This window comes from Homo sapiens, chromosome 11 (assembly GCF_000001405.40).
Source record: "Homo sapiens chromosome 11, GRCh38.p14 Primary Assembly".
Lineage (NCBI taxonomy): Eukaryota > Metazoa > Chordata > Mammalia > Primates > Hominidae > Homo > Homo sapiens.
The window spans coordinates 131258430-131285532 of record NC_000011.10 but is presented as its reverse complement, the minus strand read 5'-3'; the positions used below and the strand labels follow the sequence as shown (position 1 = coordinate 131285532).

Genomic DNA, 27103 nt, shown 5'->3' with positions numbered 1-27103 from the left:
TTAAAAAGTGAGCAAATGTTAGATAACATTGGGTGATATCAGATAATCTAATTCTAACTTTCTGAAAGTTCTGTCTAAAAAGATTTGAATAGGACTTTCACAAAATAAGAACTCTAAATACCAAATAATCATAAAGTGCTTAGTTTCATTAGCAATCACAGAACTATGACTTAAAATAATGAAATATGACTACATCTTACATCAAAAAGACCAATACCAAGTGTCATTGAAGAGACGGAGCAACTGGAACTGTCATACACTGATTGTGGGAGTATAAGTTGTCACAACCACTCTGGAACATGATTTTGCAGTATGTACAATATGTACTGAAGGTAGATGTATGACCCAGAAATTTCTCTTCTAGGTAGATGACCAAAAGAAATGTGTGCATATAGGCACCAAAAAATATGCATGATGGTTTTCATAAAAGTAGGATTCATAGTAGACACAAATTGGAAATAACCCAAATGTCTATTAACACTGCAATGCTCCATTAAATTTTATCTATGGAATGAAATACTACACAAGAATAAACAAACTACAGCTATATGCAAAACATGGATGAATCCTACAGACCTACTATTTAGCACTGCAAGCCAGAAACAAAAGAATACACAATATGTGATCCCATTTTTGTAGAGCACTCAAACTGGCCAAGTCAACTGATGGCGTTAGAGATCGGGCTAGCAGTTACCTTTGGAGACGTGGCAGGTGAACAGGAAATGATATGAGGGGACTCCTGTGGTGTTGGCAGTGTCTTATTTCCTTGGTGGTGGTTCCATGCATATTCTGACCTTATGAAAACTAATTTATATATACACTTCTAATTTGTGCATTTTCCTGTATCTATATGTATATATTACACTTGAGTCAAAAACTTACTTGAAGACCAGTTTCAAAAAGAAGAAAGTGAATGACAATGCCCAAAATATTAAAGAATTAAATAAACTGAAGACAGTCAATGTATATGATCTTTTTTTTTTTAGTGGAGTTATTGCTAATCTTGACAAGAACAATTCTAGTTTTCTCATACTAGCTAAGTATCTGAGCTCTTTTAACTTATTTCGCCATTGATACCAGCTGGAAAATTCTCCCTACTTATAGAAGAGCTCCGGGAAGTGTGATTTTTTCCCCCTTTTCTCTTCTACTTTCAGAATACTTCTCTCTTATACACTTACACACCAGACTGCAACAAGAGAAACTCCCTCAACGGGCTCACTAAACAGGGCAAGGCAAAACCCTTTGCTGGGTCAGAGGTATGATGAGCATGTCAGTGAGTGAGCACCTGCCCGAGGGCACTCATGCCTGTCACTGTTCACCATGCTGTGGGTCTGGAAATTCTGCCCGCCTCCCAACTCACCCTACTATGGGTCTGAAAGCTCTGCCTGCCTCCCAGCTTGGAGCCTCCCTCCTGTCTACTCTTCCTGAAGCACCTCCAGGAGGCACCAAGGTAAAGCTCTTTGCTTCCCACGTGGCTGCCCTCTCTGCGACACAGACACAAAGATGCTACTGGAGATGTAACCCATTAATGAGCAGGCTTGAAACCAGGCTCCTGGCTGCAGGCAGCTCCCAATCTGGCATCTATTAGTAGTGGGATGCCCCAGACTTCCACATCAAACCTAAACAGGAGACAGCTGAGGAACCAGCAGATGTGAGCAGAAAACAGAAGGACGCAGCATAGAGAGTCCAGTTCCAAAAAAGCATTGTTCTCCTCGCTGTCCTGCCCTGCGACCAGGAAATCCACCAGTGTTCAAAAGAGTGAGTCTCTTTGCCGGAATGCCCTTCTGTTCACAGACCCCGAAGTGATATGCACCTCTTGGCAAATGTGATATAGAATGATCCTCTGCAGGCATTTGAACACAGCTCTGTGACCTGTTTGCCAGGCCCTGGGTGACCAGTCTTCCCTCCAAATGTGTGTCCCCTCCCCACCTCTAGCTGGACTCTGGGATTGACTCCCCACACTGTGTCCTTTCCAGCACAACACAGGCGGTCAATGGAGCATGTGCTATTGTGGCAGAGTGGCAGAGAACCTTGGAGTGGAATTGTATATAAATGAGGAAGTCACAAGGACGCAGCCTCGTGTTGTTCAAATCTGTTTGGCATGGCTTTCATCCTGCATGGAGCCTGGACAGCTCCTGGGAACCTCCTGTCTATTTCTTTCTCACCTCAGCCCCCAGTAGCCTGGAGCTCTTTCTCTTGGCCTCTTTGGCACTGAGAAGCTCAGCCCATCCTGCCTATGGCATAGGCCACTCTTTGTTATTCTCAGGTTAAATTGTTTTTCTAATTTTTAAATCACTCAAGGCCTAATTCAGGGTCATCACTAAGTTTTTGCTACAGAACTAGCATGAATTAAATTCATTTTCCTCTAGATCGCAGCCTAGAATAAGAGGTCCAATTAAGTTTCCTCTCCACAGGGCTCATTCTCACCACAACCCATGCACATCTCTGCTCAGCCTCTCCCCGCTTTCTCTCAAAGCAGTTTTGTTTTCTTTACAATTCTATAAAATAGCTCATGAGAGGACTACTTATTTCCAAGTTAATGTCTTCTCAAGTCAAATTTCAATAAAATTCACTTATCTTGGATCGAAAAAGGATTAAACAATTTTAGAATGTTCGTTGACAGTTTCTTCTAGAATAAATTGAATTTATGACTTGGATGATATATGTTAAGCATGACCATTTATGTTTTGTTCAACAACTGTAAGAGAAGGGGGACACTTTTCAAAGAGTAAAAAGAAAAAAATGAGAGAAAGGTTTGTTATTTTCTCCTGGGACAAACAATTTACAAATTAATATATATTAGAGTTCTCCAAAGCAGCAGAACTAATATGGGGTGTGTGTGTGTGTGTGTGTGAGTGTGTGTGTGTGTGTGTGTGTGTGTGTGTGTAGAGAGAAAGAGAGAAATTGGCTCACATGATTCTACAAGCTAAGAAGTCCCAAAATCTTCAGCCAGCAAGCTGGAGACCCAGGAGAACCAATGTGTAGCTCCAGCCCAAAAGCCAGGAGGCTCAAGACCCAAGGCGACTAGTGTTTCCGTCTGAATCTGAAGGCTGGAGTAAAAGCAATGTCCTGGCTCAAGTCATCAGGCAGGAGGAGTTCCTTCTTACTCAGCAGTCTTGTTCCATATTCAGTGGCTTGGATGAGGCCTACTTCTATGGTTTGGATATGCCACCGTTTCATGTTGAAATGTGATCCCCAGTGTTGGAGGTGGGCCTGATCAGGTGTGTTTGGGTCATGGGGGAGGATCTCTCATGAAGGTTTAGTGCAGTCTTCCTGGTGATGGCTGAGTTCTCTTCTCACTATATTAGTCTCCAAAAGAATTATAGTTGTTAAAAAGCACCTGACACCTTCCACCCCTTTCTCTCACTTACTGCCATATAATCTCTCCATGTCAGCTTCTATTCAACTTCCACCATGAGTGGAAGCTTCCAGAGGCCCTCACCAGAAGCAGATGCTGGCGCCATGCTTCCTGTACAGCCTACAGACCCATGGACCAAGTCAGACCCTTTTCTTTATAAATGATCCAGCCTCAGGTATTCTTTCATAGCAACACAAAAATTGACAAGGCACCCACCCACAATAGGGAGGGCCATTTGCTTCACTCCATCCACCAATTTAAGTGTTAATCCCACACAAAACACCCTCACAGGCACAACTAGAATGTGTGACCAGATGTCTGGGCACACTGGTCAAGTTGACGGACAAAGTTAGCCATCACAACAGGATTATTGGGACTATTATGGGCCTGCTCATTCAAAATGAACAGGGCAAGAGACATAGCCACCCCAGTAGGCTATGAGGAGAATGCAAAATTAATTGACCAGAGGGTCATAATAATGAGAGGAATCCTTGAATCTGAAGATGAGAAGAAAGGGCAGAAGGGTAGCCGTCGGGGGCCTCTGCTGTTCTTGACGGGGTCAAGTTAGCCAGGGGTGGGTGTAGTCAGTGTGCTTAATTTGGTCAGCACAAGCAGAACATGTGGTTAGGGAGGTGGACAACTGCATAGCCAGAGCAGAGTCCCTTAACATTCCAGGAAGTTCAAAACCTAAGTTTAGGAGGCAGATGACTAAAGGGAGATTGCAGGATTGAGAAGTGGGTGCAAACAGCCCACAGAAAGGTCATACAGCTCACTGTCAGTGGAGGTCAGGGAAAGCTGTCACCAGCATGGATCAATGCTATGCCTCAAGTACACAGCACAGCAGATTAAAGTAAAGTTGCTTTTCCTAACAAGACTGAAGCAAATGTCTCACACCCACAGTGCCCTGCAATGTGTGGATATACAAAGGCAAAAATAGAGGAATAGCTGAAAGACATAATAAACACTACTAATAATAACAGCATAACAGTAGCAGCGGCAGCTTTTAAAAGAAAATGGCTGAAACAACATAAATTTGACTTTAATTAGTTAAGAGGGATATTACAGAGCACTGGTAGCCAACATTCTCTAGAGACATTATTATCACTAAGATGATGACCAGGCTGCAGGGACAAATATGAAGCCCCAGGAGAAACCTGTACAAGATAGGACCAACTCTGAGACTTTGCCTGTAGTTGTCCATAGCTGCAGGAATCTGCTAATCCCTTTGTGAGATAGCATCACACCTGTATTATAAATATTTCAATCATTTATATACGTGACTAGGTTAACTATTTAATAAAACTCTGTCTAATTTAACCATAATCCCTGTAAGTTTTTCTAAATTAATTCTTTAGTATTTAAATTCCCTATTATATAATGAAGTTATTGCTGGGTTACATGGCTTTGGTATCCAAGCAGGATCAACTTCAAGTCATCCTAACAATTCTCCTCTCCCCAACAAAATACTACAACTTACTGATCTTAACTTGTGTATCAGTTAGCTTTTGCTGCCTAACAAATTGCCCCCAACCTGTGGCTTTGAACAACAAACATTTCTTATTTTTCATGAATGCTGGTAGGGTGCCTGGACAGTTTTGGGCAGTTTGTCTGGAATGGCTTGGTTGATCACTGTGACCGGCTGGTGGCTCAAACGAGGCCATGTGTTCTAGGATGCCTTCCCTCATTTGGTGGTTGGGGAAGTCTGCTGGGGCAATAAAGGTGACTTGTTCCTATGTCTCACATTATCCACAGGTTAGCCTGAGCTCCTTCTCATGGTGGTGTTCCCAGGATCCACCAGAGCAGCCAAAAAGGGCAAACCACAAAACATGAGAAATGTTCAGGCTGTTGGGTATGCCCGATTTGCTATTGTCTTATCAGCCATCAGAAATTGCATGGGCAGACCCAGAGTCAGTGTGGGAGGGGATTAACCAAGGAAAGTTATCACTGTGTTTTTGTAAATAGTACACTACAACTGGGTGTTGCCAGGCACTGCTGCTATTCCACTGGCATAGCTGCCACCACACTGCAACTCAATTATGACAGCCTCAATAACCAATCCGTATGAATTTTCAACAACAGCTTATGTATACCATCTTCAACTTTCCATGTCAGAGAATGCTGTCACCCCAATATAACACAGGGTGACTGCTACAAATGTATGAAAATTCCAGTCACTTTAGTACAGCCCCTTTACCTATTAACAGGGCTCTTCTTTTTGGTTACATAAAATTTGATTATGTGAAAACTTACATCCAAAGTCTTCCTTTCTGCTTCAGGCCCTTTGATGACTCAGCAGTATGTGGCTAATACACATAAGGGAAGAACAACTTAATATGCAAAATTCCAAACTTATAAAACAGATAAATCAGAAAGTAGAGAGTGATTCATCCCATCACAATAGAATTATTCGCTCTTACATCAGGAGTCTTTAAAATAGCCAACTCCCCTAGGGCCTCTAAAATAAAACTCATCTCCAAACTTACTTTACTAATAGATTCTCAGGACTACACCTTGACATAGGGTAAGTTGTGACTGATGATTCTCTCACTGGATTCAACTTGACTGAAGGGGCAGTAAAGAACTAGGTCCTAGGCCTGGCACGGTGGCTCACGCCTGTAATCCCAGCACTTTGGGAGGCTCAGACGGGCGGATCACGAGGTCAAGAGATCGAGACCATCCTGGCTGACAGGGTGAAACCCCGTCTCTACTAAAAATACAAAAATTAGCCAGGCGTGGTGGCGGGCGCCTGTAGTCCCAGCTACTCGGGAGGATGAGGCAGGAGAATGGTGTGAACCTGGGAGGCGGAGCTCGCAGTGAGCCAAGATCGCACTGCTGCACTCCAGCCTGGGCAACAGAGTAAGACTCCATCTCCCAAAAAAAGAAAAAAAGAACTAGGTCCTCCTTGGAAGAGAAGACAAACCAAAGCAGCAATATTATGTCCAGAGAACATTAAAAAAAAAACACACACACACCATTACATGATTTCAAACATATGAACATCTCATCTCACACCCTCTGTGGAACTGAACCTACGTCCCTTCCCAAAGGGGGAGAACCGAGTTCAACCATCAGCCTTCAGTTGGGACATGGTATGTAGGAGGGCGATGCCGGCCTGGTAGACCAGGGGCAGCGCTGGGGTGAGCACCCCGCATCGCCCAGGGCACTAGCCCAAGGGACCAGCCACCACAGAGAACCTATATCTTTCTACCCTGCTCTCTTTCCAACTTTGCCACATGTAATGTCCCTTGCTTGACTGACACAGCCCTTAAAGAGCAGGCACCTCCATTCCCATGTTGTGTGTTCAAGTATGGCAATGCAGGAGGCAGGGAATCCATTAAGGAAAAGAATAGCAGGGCCTTGTCCTCTATCCCGCAGCTGCTTCTCATTGGCGCTGCCCCCCACCCCCCCTGCCCCCCGTTCCATTCCACTGGGGCTGTTGTGAGCCAGCAAGTTACGTAACATCCCATAGAAAGCTCCTATTTAAAACTCTGATAGGTGACAGCCTGTTTGACAAACAGGCTTCAGTCTGTCAAGCCAGCATCTCCAAAGCATCTGCATTTTCCGGGCTGCTGTTTTCTTGCTTATAGTCCATCAGGGCTGCACTGGGCTATTCAGGCCCTTCCCAGGGATGGAAGCCGCTGTGTCTCAGCAAGGGGCTGTCAAATTGTCCCACTTTCCCTGCCTAGTTCATATAGGGGTATCCATATTTATATTGATCTAGGCACATGAATGGCATGCCATGCTAGGCAGCAACTTGGCGGAGATAATCCAAAACACTCTGCACTCACTTGAAATTTAAATTCACCCACAAAATGCATAGGTTTAGCCTGGTCACTGATGTCATTGGTTTCTCCACTATAAGCAGAAATTGCCTCAGTGACTGAATATGTGTGAGTGGTATGTGTGTGTGTGCGCGTGTGTGTATGTATAGTCTGTCTTCACGTTAATTATTTAAAAGTTCTGTCCATTGTCCAGTTTTCCAATTTCCCCCTACAGTTTCCCTATAAATTAAGTGATTATAGCTCTTGTTGTTAACACATCACCTTAGAGCTGTCATCTAGCACACATTCGGATGCAACCCCCCAATCCTGACGGTGGTCAGAACAAAACAGGATGGGGAAGAGGGGAGGCATATTACCATCCAGGACTATTGCAGGGGTTGCTACCTGGCTCCTTCCTGCCCTCCACATTTGTCAGTTACCTTTGGGATGTACTTGCCTCCTCTGGTCCTTGTCATTTTCCCCTAGTGTCTTTTGTTGATATCCACCATTCCAGAATGTTCTGTGAGATCCAGGAGCAAACACTGTGCATCCTCTCTGTTTTAGGCACAGGCTACTCCAGTTCTACCTACTCTCTCATCCCTTAGTGCCTTGCTGCAGGCTCAGGACCTCCCAGTTGCTCTTTTGGCACTGGACCATGCTGCCTGTATGCTGTGAAGCTGCCCCTGGGCCCATCTGTCTAGCACCTCTCTCAATGCAGACTAACCTGCAGCTAAGGCAGCCCCTGCCCAAGTACACCTGCAGCTGGGAAGGAAGGTAGAAGCCTCTCTGTCGTCCTCATATTAAGCTTATCTTCTTGGATATTCCACCCACCCTTGATCCTAGGATGGGATGGAGGGGAGGGGTCCTATTTCCTGATGTCGTAGCTTTGACATTGTCTTCATATTCACTTCCACACCTCTCTGGAAACCATTGCAACTGGAAAGGGTCACCTCTTCTGGTTGTGTGGAACCTAAATTTTTCTCTCTCATGCATTTTCCACCCAGCTGCTGGTGTGGCACATATTTTATGCCCTGAGCCTTTTCTTCTCTCTGAAGCCCAGCACTTGCAAATCAAAAACTTTCAAGACCATTGTTTCTGCTGCACATTAAATTATATATTTAATAACACAGAAATTTATACTTTTCAGTATTTATCTAAACTCCCCCAAGGACAGTGCTTACAGAAAGCTAACGCCTAAATCTTGGCAAGAAGGGTCATAGGCACATGAAAACTGGATCTTCTGGGGTCGGGGGAAGAAGAAAGAGTTTATACCTAAAATTTGTATTTACCACATTCTTATGAAAAACCTGCACTCATTTTCCTTCAGCATAAATAACCCTTGGTTTACATATGCTTAGTTATTTACTACCATTACCCACTGTATTTGTTTGTTCTCACGCTGCTAATGAAGACATACCCAAGACTGGGTAATGTATAAAGGCCCCCTGCACATAAAGGAAAGAGGTTTAATGGACTCAGAGTTCCACATGGCTGGGGAGGCCTCACAACCATGGCAGAAGGCAAGATGCACATCTTACATGGTGGCAGGTAACAGACAAAATGAGAACCAAGTGAAAGGGGTTTCCCCTTACAAAACAATCAGATCTCAGGAGACTTATTCACTATCAGAAGAACAGCAGAGGGAAAACCGACCCAATGATTCAATTACCTCCCACAACATGTGAGAATTATGGGAGCTACAATTCAAGATGAGATTTGGGTGGGGACGTAGCCAAACCATATCACCCACTATCAGTTGCAATAGTAATAATAAGGCATTTATTTAGCTCTTTTGTAAGGATGAAGTGTTCATATTTATCTTAACAGTAGTAACTTCACTAAATGTGCATGTCAGCAGGAGGAAATGCCATGCACAGCATCTACATAGGTGTAGGCAGCTCCTTGGGGCAAGGGCAGGCTCCGTCTGATTTGCTGCACACTGTCTGTGCCCAGCTCTGTTACCACTGGTTGAGTGAATGACTGACTCTCATTCTCTTTGCTGATGGCTCAGATGCTGCTCCAAGGAGAGCAGCATTAAAATATCCAGATTCACGTTTTGTCCACACTGATAAAAATGCACTTGCTAAAAAACATACGACATAAACCTATGACAAATCAGAATGCTTATTGGGTCTGTTGGCAGGAAACGTAAGGTAGCTTGTCAAAATGCGCCAGGTCTTCAGTTCAGAACCCCCCAACCGTGTTGACTCTACATTAACCTTCATCTCCAACTCCATGTGTCTACGTTATCATCTACTGCCTCTGAAATTCTGAAAATTATTTATTCACTGTGCCCTCTTGTTCAGCTAATGGTTTTCTTTAGGTTCTCCAAACCCTTGCCTTCTGGTTTTAAAAAATTTCATCCTGAGAAAATGGACCCAATTTAGAGCATGCTGCTTAAGAAACAGAGAAGGAACAAAACCCATTGTTTCTCCCAAGAGAAACTCAAGACCAAGCATGCCTGTGTTCCAGGATCACCTTAGCCTAAGAGCAAGAAGAAAAGCCGCTGCTAATAAAAACTTGGCCTTCACAGACCATGCCTGGTGCTCAGCTGCAAATCTGTCAAGTAGAGAATTTCAAAAGCAGCTCTCTCCGTGCTGCCTCTCAGAGAAAATACAGCCAGACCTCGCTCCCAACCTCTCCTTGGGCCAAGATTAGTGCGCGTGAATGAGCAGGGAACAGGGAAGCCTCTTTAATAATGCAGGGAAGGATTTCAGGGAAGGGCAAGCGGAAGCATCTTCCAGAGCTCAGAGGCAGCTGGAACAAATGGATCCAAAGAGCCGTCCCGAGGTGTGCCCCAGTTACGCACAATCATAGAGCCCTCCACACTTTGCTCTTAGAATAGCCCTTCAAGCGGAGCAGTTTAGAGAGCCAACACCTTACACACTCAGATCACTAACCTTTCCCTTTCATGCTTAAAACAAGGCCAAACACAGGCAGTTCATACTTTTCTTTGCCTTAGCCCTTCAATACAGCTCCAACTTTATTCCCATTGTTACCCTTACAATTTTATCCAGCTCTGTAGATAACATGTTCTATAATTTGTGAAATAATTTTTAAAAATAACTCAATTTGTATTACTGAGTTTTATGTATTTTAAAAATATATTTATATCAATAATAATGATAATACGTACCCATATCTTGGGATTTCTATGTGCTTTAGAAATAGTAAAATACTTCCTATCTACTTCAGGAAATGGCGAATACCTCTTGCATCAGACTTCCTGAGTCTGAATCGTGTCTCTGCTGTTTCCTAGCTGTGGGACCTCTGGGTCTCAATTTTATCTTCCACAAAATGGGAGTAATAGAACCTTACTTCAGTAAGTTATTATAAAGATTAAATTATTTCATAAAAAGTTCTTTAAAACATTGCCCAGAAGACAATACGTGCTTAATATGTTAATTAATACTGGTATTATTTATCCCTTTCCAACACTTATTCACCACCCCTTTTAGAACCCGAAGACATTTCTCAGGTGCCCCACTGGGCACTGTCAAAATCAGAAGAAATCTGAGTTGGAAAGATACCTGCCTGGTAGCTTCAACCCCTTAGGTCTTAGCTTGAATGTCACTTTCTCAGAACAGAAGCTTCCTTGGCCATCCTGTGTCCACTGTGCCACCCACTCCCCTAAATCTTATCAGAGCCCTTTGGTTCATTTAATTTACCAAATGAAATCTCTAGTGCATACAACAGTGTAGTGGTTTCATTCATTTATTTATTTGTTAAATATTTACATATTGTTTTTATCTAAATAAATATACACACACACACAGAGACACACACACACGTTTTGGTCTCCTCTAGGTCATAAAGTGAGTGCAAGAACTTTGTCTTTTCATGGCTTTATTCTCAAGGCCTTATGCACTAGCAGTGCATATAACACGAGACAGTAAATATTTGTTGAATGCATGAATAAATAAGTCAATGAATGCTATTGTTTTGCAAACAAGGAAACTGAAGCTCAATAGATAAAGTGCCCTCCCCAAGGCCAGATGGATTCTCAAAAGCAGGATAGTGAAGAAGAGGAGTGCTGGTGCTATTGTGACAGGCCACTTTTGCAATCGACTGGAACAGTCGTGTGTTTGCAGAAAACCCTGGGAGTCTTGGACACACTTTCAGGAGACTTTGCGGTCAAAATTATTTTAATAATCATACTAAGAAAGCTATTTCATTTTTAACCTCTGTTGACATTTGCACTGATGAAATAAAGTAATTGTGGGTAAAACTGCTGGCCCCATAGCACAAATCAAGCCAGGGGCACCCAAATTTATCAGCAGCCGTGGGGTTCTTCTTCATCACCACACACTCACAGTGAGGGCAAGAGAAGCCCGCTCACTTAAGCATGCTCTTTGATGAAACAGGAAAAATGATTAATTTTATTAAATCTCATTCCTTAAATACAGACCCTTTTCATATTGTGTGTGGCAAAACGATAAAGCACATACGCTGCTAACTGAAGTACGATGGCTGTTTCGAGGGACAGCACTCGTGCCACTGAGCTGTGCGCTGAACTAGCCACTTTCTTCCTTGTAACACAATCTTTGCTTAAAATAACAAATTCCAGACAAACTGTGGTTATTCAGACTTGGGCATTTGGCAGGCATTTTCTCAAAAATGAGCAAAGTGAGCCTGTCACTTAAAGGAAAACAGCTGAGAGTACTGGTTGCCAATGATAAAAGTTGAACTTCTGAGCAAAAATCAGAATAAAAAAAACATGTGTCTACGACGGTGAACTTGACAGCTTTCCGATACTCAGACTTTTCTGATGTAATCAGTAATTATATTAATAAATGTGATTTTTTTGATATTGTGTAATGGAATGTGTCAGCTTTTGGAAGAGCTGAACAACTCAGCACACTAGTATTTTTTAGTGTCCAGTGCCTGATGTTATGAAATTAGGCATAGGTAAAATATCTATTAAGAGTAGAATATAGAGCCAGACTGCCTCTCTAGATTTCTCCTCACTGGGCAGGTCATCTCTGAAAGGCAGCAGCCCCAGTCAGGGGCTTTAGATAAAACTCCCATCTCCCTGGGACAGAGCACCTGGCGGAAGGGGTGGCTCTGGGTGCAGCTTCAGCAGACTTAAACGCTCCTGACTGCTGGCTCTCATGAGAGCAGCACATCTCCCAGCACAGCGCTAGAGCCCTGCTAAGGGACAGATTGCCTCCTCAAGTGAGTCCCCGACCCCCGTGCCTCCTGACGGGGAGATATCTCCCAGCAGGGGTTGACAGACACCTCATACAGGAGAGGTCCAGCTGGCATCTGGCAGGGGCCCCTCTGGGACGAAGCCTCCAGAGGAAGGAGCAGGCAGCAATCTTTGCCGTTCTACAGCCTCTGTTGGTGATACCCAGGCACACAGGGTCTGGAGTGGACCTCCAGCAAAATCCAGCAGACCTGTGGAAGAGGAGCCTGACTGTTAGAAAGAAAACTGACAAATAGAAAGCAATAGCATCAACATCAACAAAAAGGATGACCATGCAAAAACCCTATCGAAAGGTCACCAACATCAAAGACCAAAGGTAGATAAATCCAAGAAGATGAGGAAAAACCAGTGCAAAAAGTCTGCAAATTCCAAAAACCGAACACCTCTTCTCCTCCAAGGGATCACAACTCCTTGCCAGCAAGGGAACAAAACTGGATGGAGAATGAGTTTGACGAATTGACAGAAGTAGGCTTCATAGGTGAGTAATAACAAACTCCTCTGAGCTAAAGGAGCATATTCTAACCCTATTCAAGGAAGCTAAGAACCTTGAAAAAAGGTTACAGGAATTGCTAACTAGAATAACCAGTTTAGAGAAGAATGACATGATGGAGCTGAAAAACACAGCATGAGAACTTAGTGAAGCATACACAAGTTAGCAATAGCCCAATCGATCAAGTGGAAGAAAGGATATCAGAGACCGAAGATCAACTTAATGAAATAAAGCACAAACACAAGATTAGAGGAAAAGAATAAAAAGGAGTGAAGAAATCCTCCAAGAAATATGGGTCTATGCAAAAGGACCAAACCTACGTTTGATTGGTGTACCTAAAAGTGATGGGGAGAATGGAACCAAGTTAGAAAACACACTTCAGGATATTATCCAGGAGAACTTCCCCAACCTAGAAAGACAGGCCAACATTCAAATTCAGGAAATACAGAGAACACCACAAAGATACTCCTCAAGAAGAGCAACCCAAAGACACATAATCATCAGATTCACCAAGGCTGAAACAAAGGAAAAAATGTTAAGGGCAGCCAGAGAGAAAGGTCAGGTTACCCACAAAGGGAAGCCCATCAGACTAACAGCAGATCTCTCTCCAGAAACTCTACAAGCCAGAAGAAAGTGGGGGCCAACATTCAACATTCTTAAAGAAAATAAATTTCAACCCAGAATTTCATATCCAGCCAAACTAAGCTTCATAAGTGAAGGAGAAATAACATCCTTCACAGACAAGCAAATGCTGAGGCATTTTGTCATCACCAGGCCTGCCTTGCAAGGGCTCCTAAAGGAAGCATTTAATGTGGAAAGGAAAAACCAGTATTAGCCACTGCAAAAACATACCAAAATATAAAGACCATTGACACTATGAAAAAACCGCATCAACTAATGGGCAAAATAACCAGCTAGTATCATAATGACAGGATCAAATTCACACATAACAATATAAACCTTAAATGTAAATGGACTAAATGCCCCAGTTAAAAGACACAGACTGGCAAATTGTCTAGAGTCAAGACCCACTGGTGTGCTGTACTCAGGAGACCTATCTCACATGCAAAGACACACATAGGCTCAAAATAAAGGGATGGAGGGATATTTACCAAGCAAATGGAAAGCAAACAAATAAACAAACAAACAAAAAAGGCAGGGATTGCAATCCTAGTCTCTGATAAAACAGACTTTGAACCAACAAAGATAAAAAACGACAAAGAAGGGTATTACATAATGGTAAAGGGATCAATGCAACAAGAAGAGCTAAATATCCTAAATATATATGAACCCAATACAGGAGCATCCAGATTAATAAAACAAGTTCTTAGAGATCAACAAAGAGACTTAGACTCCCACACAATAATAGTGGGAGACTTTAACACCCCACTGTCAATATTAGACAGATCAATGAGACAGAAAATTAACATGAATATTCAGGACTTGAACTCAGCTCTGGAACAAGTGGACCTAATATAAATGTACAGAACTCTCCACCCCAAGTCAACAAATATACATTATTCTCAGCACCACATAGCACTTATTCTGAAATTGACCACATAATTGGAAGTAAAATACTCCTCAGCAAATGCAAAAGAATGGAAATCATAACAGTCTCTCAGACCACAGTGCAATCAAATTAAAACTCGGGATTAAGACACTCACTTAAAACCACACAACAACATGGGAACTGAACAACTTGCTCCTGAATAACTACAGGGTAAATAATGAAATTAAGACATAAATAAATAAGTTCTTTGAAACCAATGAGAACAAAGACACAACGTACCAGAATCTCTGGGACACAGCTAAAGCAGTGTTTGGAGGGAAATTTATAGCACTAAATGCTCACAGTAGAAAGTGGGAAGGATCTAAAATTGACACCCTAACATCACAATTTAAAGAACTAGAGAAGCAAGAGCAAACAAATTCAAAAGCTAGCAGAAAACAGGAAATAGCTAAGATCAGGGCAGAACTGAAGGAGAGAGAGACATGAAAAACCCTTCAAAAAAATCAATGAATCCAAGAGCTGTTTTTTTGAAAAGGTTAACAAAATAGACAGCTAGCTAGACAAATAAAGAAGAAAAGAGAGAAGAATGAAATAGACACAATAAAAAATGATAAAAGATACCACCTCTGATCCCACAGAAATACCAACTACCTTCAGAGAATACTATAAACACCTGTACGCAAATAAACTAGAAAATCTAGAAGAAATGAATAAAATCCTAGAGACATACACCTTCCCAAGACTAAACCAGGAAGAAGTTGAATCCCTGAATAGACCAATAACAAGTTCTGAAATTGAGTCAGTAATTTATAGCCTACCATCCAAAAAAGCCCAGGACCAGATGGATTCACAGCCAAATTCTACAAGAGGTAAAAAGAAGAGCTGGTACCATTCCTTCTAAAACTATTCCAAACAATAGAAAAAGAAGGACTCCTCCCTAACTCATTTTATGAGGCCAGCATCATCCTGATACCAAAACCTGGTATAGACACAACAAAAAAAGAAAATTTCAGACTAATATCCTTGATGAACATTGGTGTGAAAATATTCAATAAAATACTGGCAAACCAAATCCAGCAGCACATTAAAAAGCTTATCCACCGCTATCAAGTTGGCTTCATCCCTGGGATGCAAGGCTGGTTCAAGCAAATCAATAAACGTAATCCATTACATATACAGGAGCAAAGACAAAAACCACATGATTATCTCAATAGATGCAGAAAAGGCCTTTGATAAAATTCAACACCCCTCCACACTAAAAACACTCAGTAAACTAGGTATTGATGGAACATATCTCAAAATAATATGGGCTATTTATGACAAACCCACAGCCAATATCATAATGAATGGGCAAAAGCTGGAAGTACTTCCTTTGAAAATCAGCACAGGCCAAGGATGCCCTCTCTCACCACTCCTATTCAACATAGTATTGGAAGCTCTGGCCAGGGCAATTAGGCAAGGGAAAATATTCAGATAGGAAGAGAGGAAGTCAAATTGTCTCTGTTTGCAGATGACATGATTGTATATTTAGAAAACCCCATTGTCTCAGCCCAAAATCTTCTTAAGCTGATAAGCAATTTCAGCAAAATCTCAGGATAAGAAATCAATGTGCAAAAATCACAAGCATTCTTATATGCCAATAATAGACAAACAGAGAGCCAAATCATGAGTGAACTCCCATTCACAATTGCTACAAAGAAAATAAAATACCTAGGAATACAACTTACAAGGGATGTGAAGGTCCTCTTTAAGGAGAACTACAAACCACTGCTCAAGGAAATAAGAGAGGACACAAACAAATGGAAAAACATCCCACACTTATGGATGGGAAGAAATAATATCGTGAAAACGGCCATACTGTCCAAAGTAATTTGTAGATTCAATGCTATCCCCATCAAGCTACCATTGACTTTCTTCACAGAATTAGAAAAAACTACTTTAAATTTCATATGGAACCAAAAAAAGAGCCTGAATAGCCAAGACAATCCTAAGCAAAAAGAACAAAGCTGAAGGCATCATGCTACCTGACTTCAAACTATACTACAAGGCTACAGTAACCAAAACAGCATGGTACTTGGTACCAAAACAGAGATATAGACCAATGGAACAGAACAGAGGCCTCAGAAATAACACCACACATCTACAACCAGCTGATCTTTGACAAACTTGACAAAAACAAGCAACGGGGAAAGGATTTCCTATTTAATAAATGGTGCTGGGAAAACAGGCTAACCATATGTGGAAAACTGAAACTGGACCCCTTCTTTATACCTTATACAAAGATTAACTCAAGATGCATTAAAGACTTAAATGTAAGGCAAAACCATAAAAACCCTAGAAGAAAACCTAGGCAATACCATTCAGGACATAAGCATGGACAAAAGCTACATGACTAAAACACCAAAAGCAATGGCAACAAAAGCTAAAATTGACAAATGGGATCTAATTAAGCAAACTAGCTTCTACACAACAAAAGAAACTACCATCAGAGTGAACAGGCAACCTACAGAATGGGAGAAAATTTTTGAAATCTATCCATCTGACAAAGGGCTAATATCCAGAATCTACAAGGAACTTAAACAAATTTACAAGAAAAAAAATCAAAAAGTGGGCAAAGGATATGAACAGACACTTCTCAAAAGAAGACATTTATGCAGCCAATAATCATGAAAAAAAGCTCACCCTCACTTGTCATTAGACAAATGTAAATCAAAACCACAATGAGATACCATCTCATGCCGGTTAGAAGGGTGATCATTAAAAAGTCAGGAAGCAACAGATGCTGGAGAGGATGTGGGGAAATAGGAACACTTATACACTGTTGGTGGGAGTCTAAATTAATTCCACCATTGTGGAAGGCAGTGTGGTGATTCCTAAGGATCTAGAACTAGAAATATCATTTGACATAGCAATCTCATTACTCGGTATATACCCAAAAGGTTATAAATCATTCTACTGTAAAGACACATGCACATATATGTCTATTGCAGCACTATTCACAATAGCAAAGACTTGGAACCAACCCAAATGCCCATCAATGATAGACTGGATAAAAAAAAATGTGGCACATATACACCATGGAATACTATGCAGCCATAAAAAATGAGTTCATATCCTTTGCAGGGACATGGATGAAGCTGGAAACTATTATTCTCAGCAAACTAACACAGAACAGAAAACCAAACACCACATGTTCCCACTCATAACTGGGAGTTGAACAATGAAAATGCATGGACACAGGGAGGAGAACATCACACACTAGGGCCTGTTGTGGGGTAGGGGGCAAGGGGAGGGATAGCATTAGGATAAATATCTAATGTAGATGACTGGTTGATGGGTGCAGCAAACCACCATGGCACATTTCTACCTATGTAACAAACCTGCACGTTCTGCACATGTATCCCAGAACTTAAACTATAATAAAAAAGTATAAAATAAGCCAATAATTTTTATATAACAGAGTATGAAAAGTTTCCTGATATTGTGTCAGATTCCATATCTCATTGGCCTTTAAAAAGCTAGTACTAACAGTCAATTACAGGTCAGTGTCAAAGAAGAATAGCCACAGTTACCTGAAAAGTCTGTTGGAGTATTTCTCCTTTTCCCTACTACATGTCTGTATGAGGCCACATTTTCAGATACTTTGATCAAAACAACTTATTCCAACAGATTGAATACGAAAACAGAAATGAGTCCCTAACTAAATTCTATTAAATCAGACATTAATGATACTGGCAAAATGTAAAATAATGACACATTCTCTTTTTTTTATTTGTGAAAATATGGTTATTCTTTTTTTGTTACTGTGTAAAGGAATTTTGTTGCTTTTACATTAATTGATACTCTTGGTTTTTTTCAGTTTTTATTGCTAATATGGCAATATTCACAGCAATAACCCACATGTAATATTAATTCCTTTTAAGAAGCTCATTTGTTTTTAGTTCTTTATTTTATTCATTTTTCTCTTTTTTTTTTCATAGGCTTTTGGGAAACAGGTTGTGTTTGCTTACATGAGTAAGTTCTTCAGTGGTGATCTGCGAGATTTGGGTGCACCCATCACCCGAGCAGTGTATGCTGTACCCAATGTGTAGTCTTTTATCCCTCACCCGCCTCGCACCCTGTCCCCGAGTCCCGAGTCCATTGTATCATTCTTATGCATTTGCATCCTCATAGCTTAGCTCCCACTTATCAGTGAGAATATACGATGTTTGACTTTCCATTCCTGAGTTACTTCACTTAGAATAACGGTCTTCAATTCCATCCAGTTTGCTGCAAATGCCATTGTTTTGTTCCTTTTTATGGCTGAATAGTGTTCTACGGTATATATATACACAACGTATATATATACACTGTATATATATACACAACGTATATATATACACTGTATATATATACACAACGTATATATATACACTGTATATATATACACTGCATATATCTGTATATATATACACTGTATATATATACACTGCATATATCTGTATATATATACACTGTATATATCTGTATATATATGCAGTGTATATATATGTATATATATACACGGTATATATATGTATATATATGCAGTGTATATATATGTATATATATACACGGTATATATATGTATATATGTATATATACATATATGTATATATATGTATATATGTATATATACACATATATGTATATATACATATACATATATACATATATAAGTGAACATTTTTACAAATGACTAACATTTGAAAAATGTAAAAGGGAATACTTTTATATATATGATATCTATACATCACATATAAGATATATATGAGATCTATACATCACATATAAGATATATATGGGATCTATACATCATCACATATAAGATATATATGGGATCTATACATCACATATAAGATATATATGGGATCTATACATCACATGTAAGATATATATGGGATCTATACATCACATATAAGATATATATGGGATCTATACATCACATATAAGATATATATGGGATCTATACATCACATATAAGATATATATGAGATCTAGATCTCATATATATAAGATATACATGAGATATATATATCTCATATATAAGATATATGTGAGATATATATATCATAAGTTATATGTGAGATATATATATCATAAGATATATGAGATATATATATCATAAGATATATGAGATATATATATCATAAGATATATGAGATATATATATCATAAGATATATGAGATATATATATCATAAGATATATGAGATATATATATCATAAGATATATGAGATATATATATGATATATGAGATATATACATCATAAGATATATATGAGATATATACATCATAAGATATATATGAGATATATACATCATAAGATATATATGAGATATATACATAAGATATATATGAGATATATACATCATAAGATATATATGAGAGATATACATCATAAGATATATATGAGATATATATCATAAGATATATATGAGATATATATAAGATATATATGAGATATATATAAGATATATATGAGATATATATAAGATATATATGAGATATATAAGATAAGATATATATGATATATATCATATATAAGATATATATGAGATATATATATCATAAGATATATGAGATATATATAAGATATATATGAGATATATATAAGATATATATGAGATATATATCATAAGATATATATGAGATATATATCATAAGATATATATGAGATATATATCTCATATCATAAGATATATGAGATATATATCTCATATCATAAGATATATGAGATATATATCTCATAGCATAAGATATATGAGATATATATCTCATAGCATAAGATATATGAGATATATATCTCATAGCATAAGATATATGAGATATATATCTCATAGCATAAGATATATGAGATATATATCTCATATATAAGAGATATATGAGATATATATCATAAGATATATATGAGATATATATAAGATATATATGAGATATATATCATAAGATATATATGAGATATATATCTCATAGCATAAGATATGAGATATATATCTCATAGCATAAGATATATGAGATATATATCTCATAGCATAAGATATATGAGATATATATCTCATAGCATAAGATATATGAGATATATATCTCATAGCATAAGAAATATCATATATAAGATATATATATAAGATATGTATATACATATATTATATACATATATGTATATGTATATATGTATACTATACATATATGTATATATATTATATATATCATATATATATGGTAGAATTTCTTTATCCACTTATTGACTGATAAGCATTTGGGCTGGTTCCATATTTTTGCAACTGTGGAATTGCACAGCTATAAACGTGTGTGCAAGTATCTTTTTTGTATAATGACTTCTTTTCCTCTGGGTAAATACCCAGAGGATTATCTGGATCAAATGTAGTGGGATTGCTGTATCAAATGGTAGTTCTACTTTTAGTTCTTTAAGGAATTTCCACACTGTTTTCCATAGTAGTTGTACTAGTTTACATTCCCACCAGCAGTGTAAAAGTGTTCCCTTTTCACTGCATCCCTGCCAACATCTATTATTTTTTTTATTATGGCCATTCTTGCAGGAGTAAGGTGGTATTGCACTGCTGTTTTGATTTGCATTACCCTGATCATCAGTGAAGCTGACCATTTTTTCAAATGTTTGTTAGTCATTTGTATATCTTCTTTTGAGAATTGTCTGTTCATGTCCTTAGCCCACTTTTTGATGGGATTGTTTTTTCTTGCTAATTTGTTTGAGTTCACTATAGATTCTCGATATTAGTCCTTCATCAGATGTGTAAATTATGAAGAGTGTCTCCACAATCTCCATAGATTGTCTGTGGGTTGTCTGTTTACTCTGATGATGGTTTCTTTTACTGTGCAGAAACGTTTTAGTTTAATGAAGTCCTACCTATTAGTCATTGTTTTTGTTGCATTTGCTTTTGGGTTCTTGGTTATAAAGTCTTTGCCTAAGCTAATGTCCAGAAGGGTTTTTCTGATGTTGTCTTCTAGAATTTTTAGGGTTTCAGGTCTTCGATTTAAGTTCTTGATCCATCTTGAGTTGATTTTTGTATAAGGTGAGAGATGAGGATCTAGTTTCATTCTTCTGCATGTGGCTTGCCAATTATCCCATCACCATTTGTTGAATAGCGTGTCCTTTCCCCACAATATGTTTTTGTTTGCTTTGTTGAAGATGAGTTGGCTGTGAGTATTTGGCTTTATTTCTGGGTTCTCTGTTCAGTTCCATTGGTCTATGTGCCTATTTTTATACCAGCACCATGCCGTTTTGGTGACTATGGCCTTATAGTATAATTTGAAGTCAGGTCACTTTTTTGGTTCCATATGAATTTTAAGATTTTCTTTTCTTATTCTGTGAAGAATGATGGTGGTACTTTTTTTTTTTTTTTTTTTTTTTGAGACAGAGTCTCGCTCTATCACCCAGGCGCTGGAGTGTAGTGGCACGATCTCAGCTCACTGCAAGTTCTACCTCCCAGGTTCCCACCATTCTCCTGCCTCAACCTCCCAAGTAGCTGGGACTACAGGTGCCCGCCACCATGCCCAGCTAATTTTTTTGTATTTTTAGTAGAGACTTGGTTTCACCCTGTTAGCCAAGATGGTCTTCATCTCCTGACCTTGTAATCCGCCTGCCTCGGCCTCCTAAAGTACTGGAATTACAGGTGGGAGCCACTGCGCCCGGCCATGATGGTGGTATTTTTATGGGAATTGCATTGAATTTGTAGATTGCTTTTGGCAGGATGGTCATTTTCACAATATTGATTCTACCCATCCACAAGCATGGGATGTGTTTCCTTTTGTTTGTGTCATCTATGATTTCTTTCAGTAGTGTTTTGTAGTTTTCCTTATAGAGTTCTTTCACCTCCTTGGTTAGATACATTCCTAAGTGTTTTATTTATTTGTAGCTATTGTAAAAGGGGTTGAGTTGTTGATTTGATTCTCAGCTTGGCCACTGTTGGTGAGTAGCACAGCTACTGATAAATGAATTCAGCAAGGTTTCAGGATACAAAATTAATGTACACAAATTGGTAACCCTGCTATACACCAAGAACCTCATGTTTTTGAAGGACATAAAGGGTTCCAGAGACCAAAAATTTTAGAACTACTGGCTTGGAACACACCAGTTGGTGTTCAGACCCTTTCATGCTTGCAGACATGCAAGGAGTTCTCCTAGGTGGTGGGTCTAAGGACATAAAGCTCATGGCACCCTGTGATCTGTTACAGCTCTGCAAAGCCATGTCAGGATCCCTTCAGAAGTAATAAGCTGTCTACAAAGTTTAAAAAAAACAACAACAACACACATATCTGTACTGATCGGGATATTGGTTAGAAAAAGCATTTCAGGGCTCAAAATAACAAAATTTTATTTTTCACACTTGATAAGTATACATTTCAGGTCATCTGGGCCTCTGTTTCATATCCCTTTACTCCAGAATTCAGGTTGACAGAACATCTAACATATAAAGTGCTGTCAGTTGTGATGGTAGCAAGAAAGGAATGTGGTAAATTGTCCATATGAAGAGAACTGGCTTCACTTTAAGAGAAAGACCACCCTGAGAAAAACCATGTGGCTCTTATGCTTACATGTTTTTGGCCTAAGCAAATCTCATGACTTTGCCTGACTTCAAAAGGGTCAGAAACTTGCCATCCTACCACGATACCATGATCTGGGAAGTAGGAAGGGTGGGATGTGAAGACAGTCAACATCAGGAGCTCTCGTGACTGCCACAATCCTCTTCCTCCACTTGAAACGAAATCCCCATTGATAAAATTCACTGATATCTGATTCTTAGGTTATTCATGCACAACTTTTCATACTTAATTATTATATAGATGCTATTTTGTATTCTTTCCATTTGGCATTATTTGTCATGTCTCTATAGTTCTCATATTTGTAATTTGGATTTCACTGTTAACTTTTATTCTATTAATAAATTATTCTAATTTTAAACATTGCTTGTTTGGGTATTTGGGTAGCAGGTAGCTAGTCTTTCACTATTATAGATGGTTTAGCAATGCACATCAATATATGAAAATACCTTTTTAATATTATTTACTTGTGGTTACTGAGTCAAGAAGTAAGATGGAGTTTTGTGATGACACGTTATGTATGCCAACCATTTCATAAGCTTTTGTGAATAAGGATCTGGCCTTATTCATTCTGTATCCCCAGAGCCTAACAAAATATCTGGTTGGTAGGCATTCAATACTTGTCTACTGAATGAATGACTCTTAGCAGATTGCTTTCTGGAATTCTTATACCAATTTACAATGCTGCCAGTACAGAATTCTGTTGCTCTAGAAGGCTCTTTAATAGTTTGAGCAGTGGTTTTCTCTTCACTAATTTAATGATTAGCAGGTTTAAGCATATTTCCAAAATTTTTCTTTTAGTGTTTGTGTTGTTTCTCACTTGTGCTCTACTTAGTAAAGTAAATCTGGCAATTTCTCTTAGGAATTGTCCCCATATATTTTGTTTTTTAAATCTTTGGGACTATTGTGGGGTCATTGAGAAAAGAGAATAAACTAGGAATAGGTGGAGGTGGAGGTGTGGGTCTAGCTGAAGAAGTAAAGCATATAATTATATTTACATTATTATCATCTTCCTCTTCCTCAACAGATGTCATTTACAGAACATATTTTGCAAATACTATATCTAGTCCTTATATTACTGAAAGGTAGATACAATGGTAACTCCATGATGGGGAGAAGATATTGACACTCAGAAAAGTTACAATTGCCCAAGACCTTACAGATAGGAAGAAGCAAGTCAGGTTTTGCGTCTATGTTTTTCTGCACTTGGAGCCTGAGTTCCTTCCCGCTGCTTCAAGCTGCCTTGCCACACTCACAAGAACACGTGGCGACAACCTGAAGCACAGGGTGGGGAGGACCGTGCTCTTGGGTCGGTGGGGACTGATGTGGATCCACCCACTCTGTGGGCAAGGCGTCTGCAGAGGCACTCAAAGAGATGCTATTCAAATACTGAGGACATCTGACCAGAGGCAGGGCCCTGGCAGCATCTGGGGTTTTGGACAGAGTGGAGTTCTCAAAGGCAGGCGTGTGCAGGAGAGGGGCAGGTTGTCACAGTCCTTGATTGCCAGGTGCCATTTTGGGGCTGGCACCACTCACTGGGGAGCAGGAGGACAAACCAGAGAGCAAGGTGGCAGCTCAGTCAGGGACTTGGCACAGAAGCACACGAGCAGGGTGGGAGGAGCCTGCTGGGCACTGAGAGTTCCCAAGGGGCTTGGACTCGGGACCCAGTTGCAGGCATTCCCTTCCATTGGCAAGAACTGGCTCCCAAGCTGACTGTCAGAGCCTCTTCCGCAGCTCTCCCACAGGCAGCCCTTAGTTACATATGGCTATTTACAGCTATTTACAGCCAAGTGCGGTGGTTCATGCCTGCAATCCCAGCACTTTAAGAGGCCGAGTGGGGCAAATCACCTGAGGTCAGGAGTTTGAGACCAGCCTGGCCAACATGATGAAACCGTCTCTACTAAAAATACAAAAATTATCTGGGCATGGCAGTGGGCGCCTGTAGTCCCAGTTACTTGGGAGGCTGAGGCAGGAGAATCACTTGAACCCAGGAGGCGGAGGCTGCAGGGAGCTGAGATCGCACCAGTAAGCTCCAGCCTGGGTGACAGAGACTTCCTCTCCAAAAAAAAATAAATAAATAAATAAAAAGAAAAAAAAAGAAAAGAAAAGGCCATTTACATGTAAACTAAGTGAATGAACAAAAGTTAAAACCCTGGCCCCTTGGTCACACTCAGCCACACTAGCTAGCTCTCCAGGCCTAGGTCGTGGCAAGTGTGTTGGGCATCACAGATGCAGAACAAGCCACCGTCTCAGGACATGCTGTGGGACGGGGCTCCAGACCTTGCTTCTCCAGGTGGGCCAGCACGGGCCACAGCGGCAGCTCCTGCTTTGTCAGGCCTCTGAGCCTAAGCTAAGCCATCATATCCCCTGTGACCTGCATGTACACATCCAGATGGCCGGTTCCTGCCTTAACTGATGACATTCCACCACAAAAGAAATGAAAATGGCCTGTTCCTGCCTTAACTGATGACATTATCTTGTGAAATTCCTTCTCCTGGCTCATCCTGGCTCAAAAGCTCCCCTACTGACCAACTGGTGACCCCCACTCCTGCCCGCCAGAGAACAACCCCTCTTTGAATATAATTTTCCTTTACCTACCCATATCTTATAAAATGGCCCCACCCCTATCTCCCTTCGCTGACTCTCTTTTCAGACTCAGCCTGCCTGCACCCAGGTGAAATAAACAGCCTTCTTGCTCACACAAAGCCTGTTTGGTGGTCTCTTCACATGGACATGAGTGAAATTTGGTGCTGTGACTTGGATCAGGGAACCTCCCTTGGGAGATCAATCCCCTGTCCTCCTGCTCTTTGCTCCATGAAAAAGATCCACCTGCGACCTTGGGTCCTCAGACCCACCAGCCCAAGGAACATCTCACCAATTTTAAATCAGGTAAGTGGACTCTTCTTACTCTCTTCTCCAACCTCTCTCACTATCCCTCAACCACTTTCTCCTTTCAATCTTGGCACCATCCTTCAATCTCTCCCTTCTCTTAATTTCAATTTCTTTCATTTTCTGGTAGAGACAAAGGAGACACGTTTTATCCGTGGACCCAAAACTCTGGTGCCAGTCACGGACTCGGAAAGGCAGACTTCCCTTGGTGTTTAATCATTGAAGGGATGCCTCTCTGATTATTCACCCACGTTTCAGAGGTATCTGACCACACGGGGATGCCAGTCTTGGTCCTTCACCCTTAGCAGCAAGTACTGCTTTTCTGGGAAGCAAGAACCCCTCAACTCCTTCTCTCCATGTCTCTACTCCTTCTCCACTTTTCTGGGAGGCAAGAACCCCCCAACCCCTTCTCCTTCACCCTTAGCGGCAAGTACCGCTTTTCTAGGGGGCAAGAACCCCCCGATCCCTTATTTCCACACCCCGGCCTCTTATCTCTGTGCCCCAATCCCTTATTTCCATGCCCTAACCTCTTATCTCTGTGCCCCATCCCTCATTTCCATGCCCTGACCTCTTATCTCTGTGCCCTGATCCCTTATTTCCATGCCCCACCTCTTATCTCTGCACCCCAACCCCTTATTTCTGTGCCTCAACCCCTTTCCCACTTTTCTGGAGAGTAAGAACCCCTGAACCCCTTCCCTCCATGTCTCTACTCTCTCTTTTCTCTGGGCTTGCCTCCTTCACTATAGGCAACATTCCACCCTCCATTCCTCCTTTTTCTCCCTTAGCCTCTGTTCTTAAAAACCTAAAACCTCTTCAACTCACACCTGACCTAAAACCTAAATGCCTTATTTTCTTCTACAAGGCTGCTTGACCCCAATACAAACTTGACAATGGTTCCAAATAGCCAGAAAATGGCACTTTTGATTTTTCCATCCTACAAGATCTAAATAATTCTTGTCATAAAATGGGCAAACAGTCTGAGGTGCCTGATGTCCAGGCATTCTTTTACACATTGGTCCCTTCCTAGTCTCTGTTCCCAATGTGACTTGTCCCAGATCCTCCTTCTTTCCCTCCCACCTGTCCCCTCAGTCCCAACCCCAAGGGTCACTGAGTCTTTCTAATCTTCCCTTTCTACAGACCCATCTGACGTCTCCCCTCCTCCCTGGGCTGCTCCTAGCCAGGCCAAGCTAGGTCCCAATTCTTCCTCAGCCTCCGCTCCTCCACCCTATAATCCTTTTATCACCTCCCCTCCTCACACCCGGTCCGTCTTACAGTTTGTTTCCACGACTA

General features: G+C 40.5%; 2 annotated features.

The window, feature by feature from the left end:
- Positions 23952-24489: an enhancer, noted in NCBI's record as "H3K27ac-H3K4me1 hESC enhancer chr11:131130939-131131476 (GRCh37/hg19 assembly coordinates)". NCBI's record gives its function as "activates a minimal SCP1, AML or CMV promoter by ChIP-STARR-seq in primed H9 embryonic stem cells {active_cell/tissue: H9 hESC(primed)}" and the evidence as "EXISTENCE:reporter gene assay evidence [ECO:0000049][PMID:30033119]".
- Positions 24490-25029: an enhancer, noted in NCBI's record as "H3K27ac-H3K4me1 hESC enhancer chr11:131130399-131130938 (GRCh37/hg19 assembly coordinates)". NCBI's record gives its function as "activates a minimal SCP1, AML or CMV promoter by ChIP-STARR-seq in primed H9 embryonic stem cells {active_cell/tissue: H9 hESC(primed)}" and the evidence as "EXISTENCE:reporter gene assay evidence [ECO:0000049][PMID:30033119]".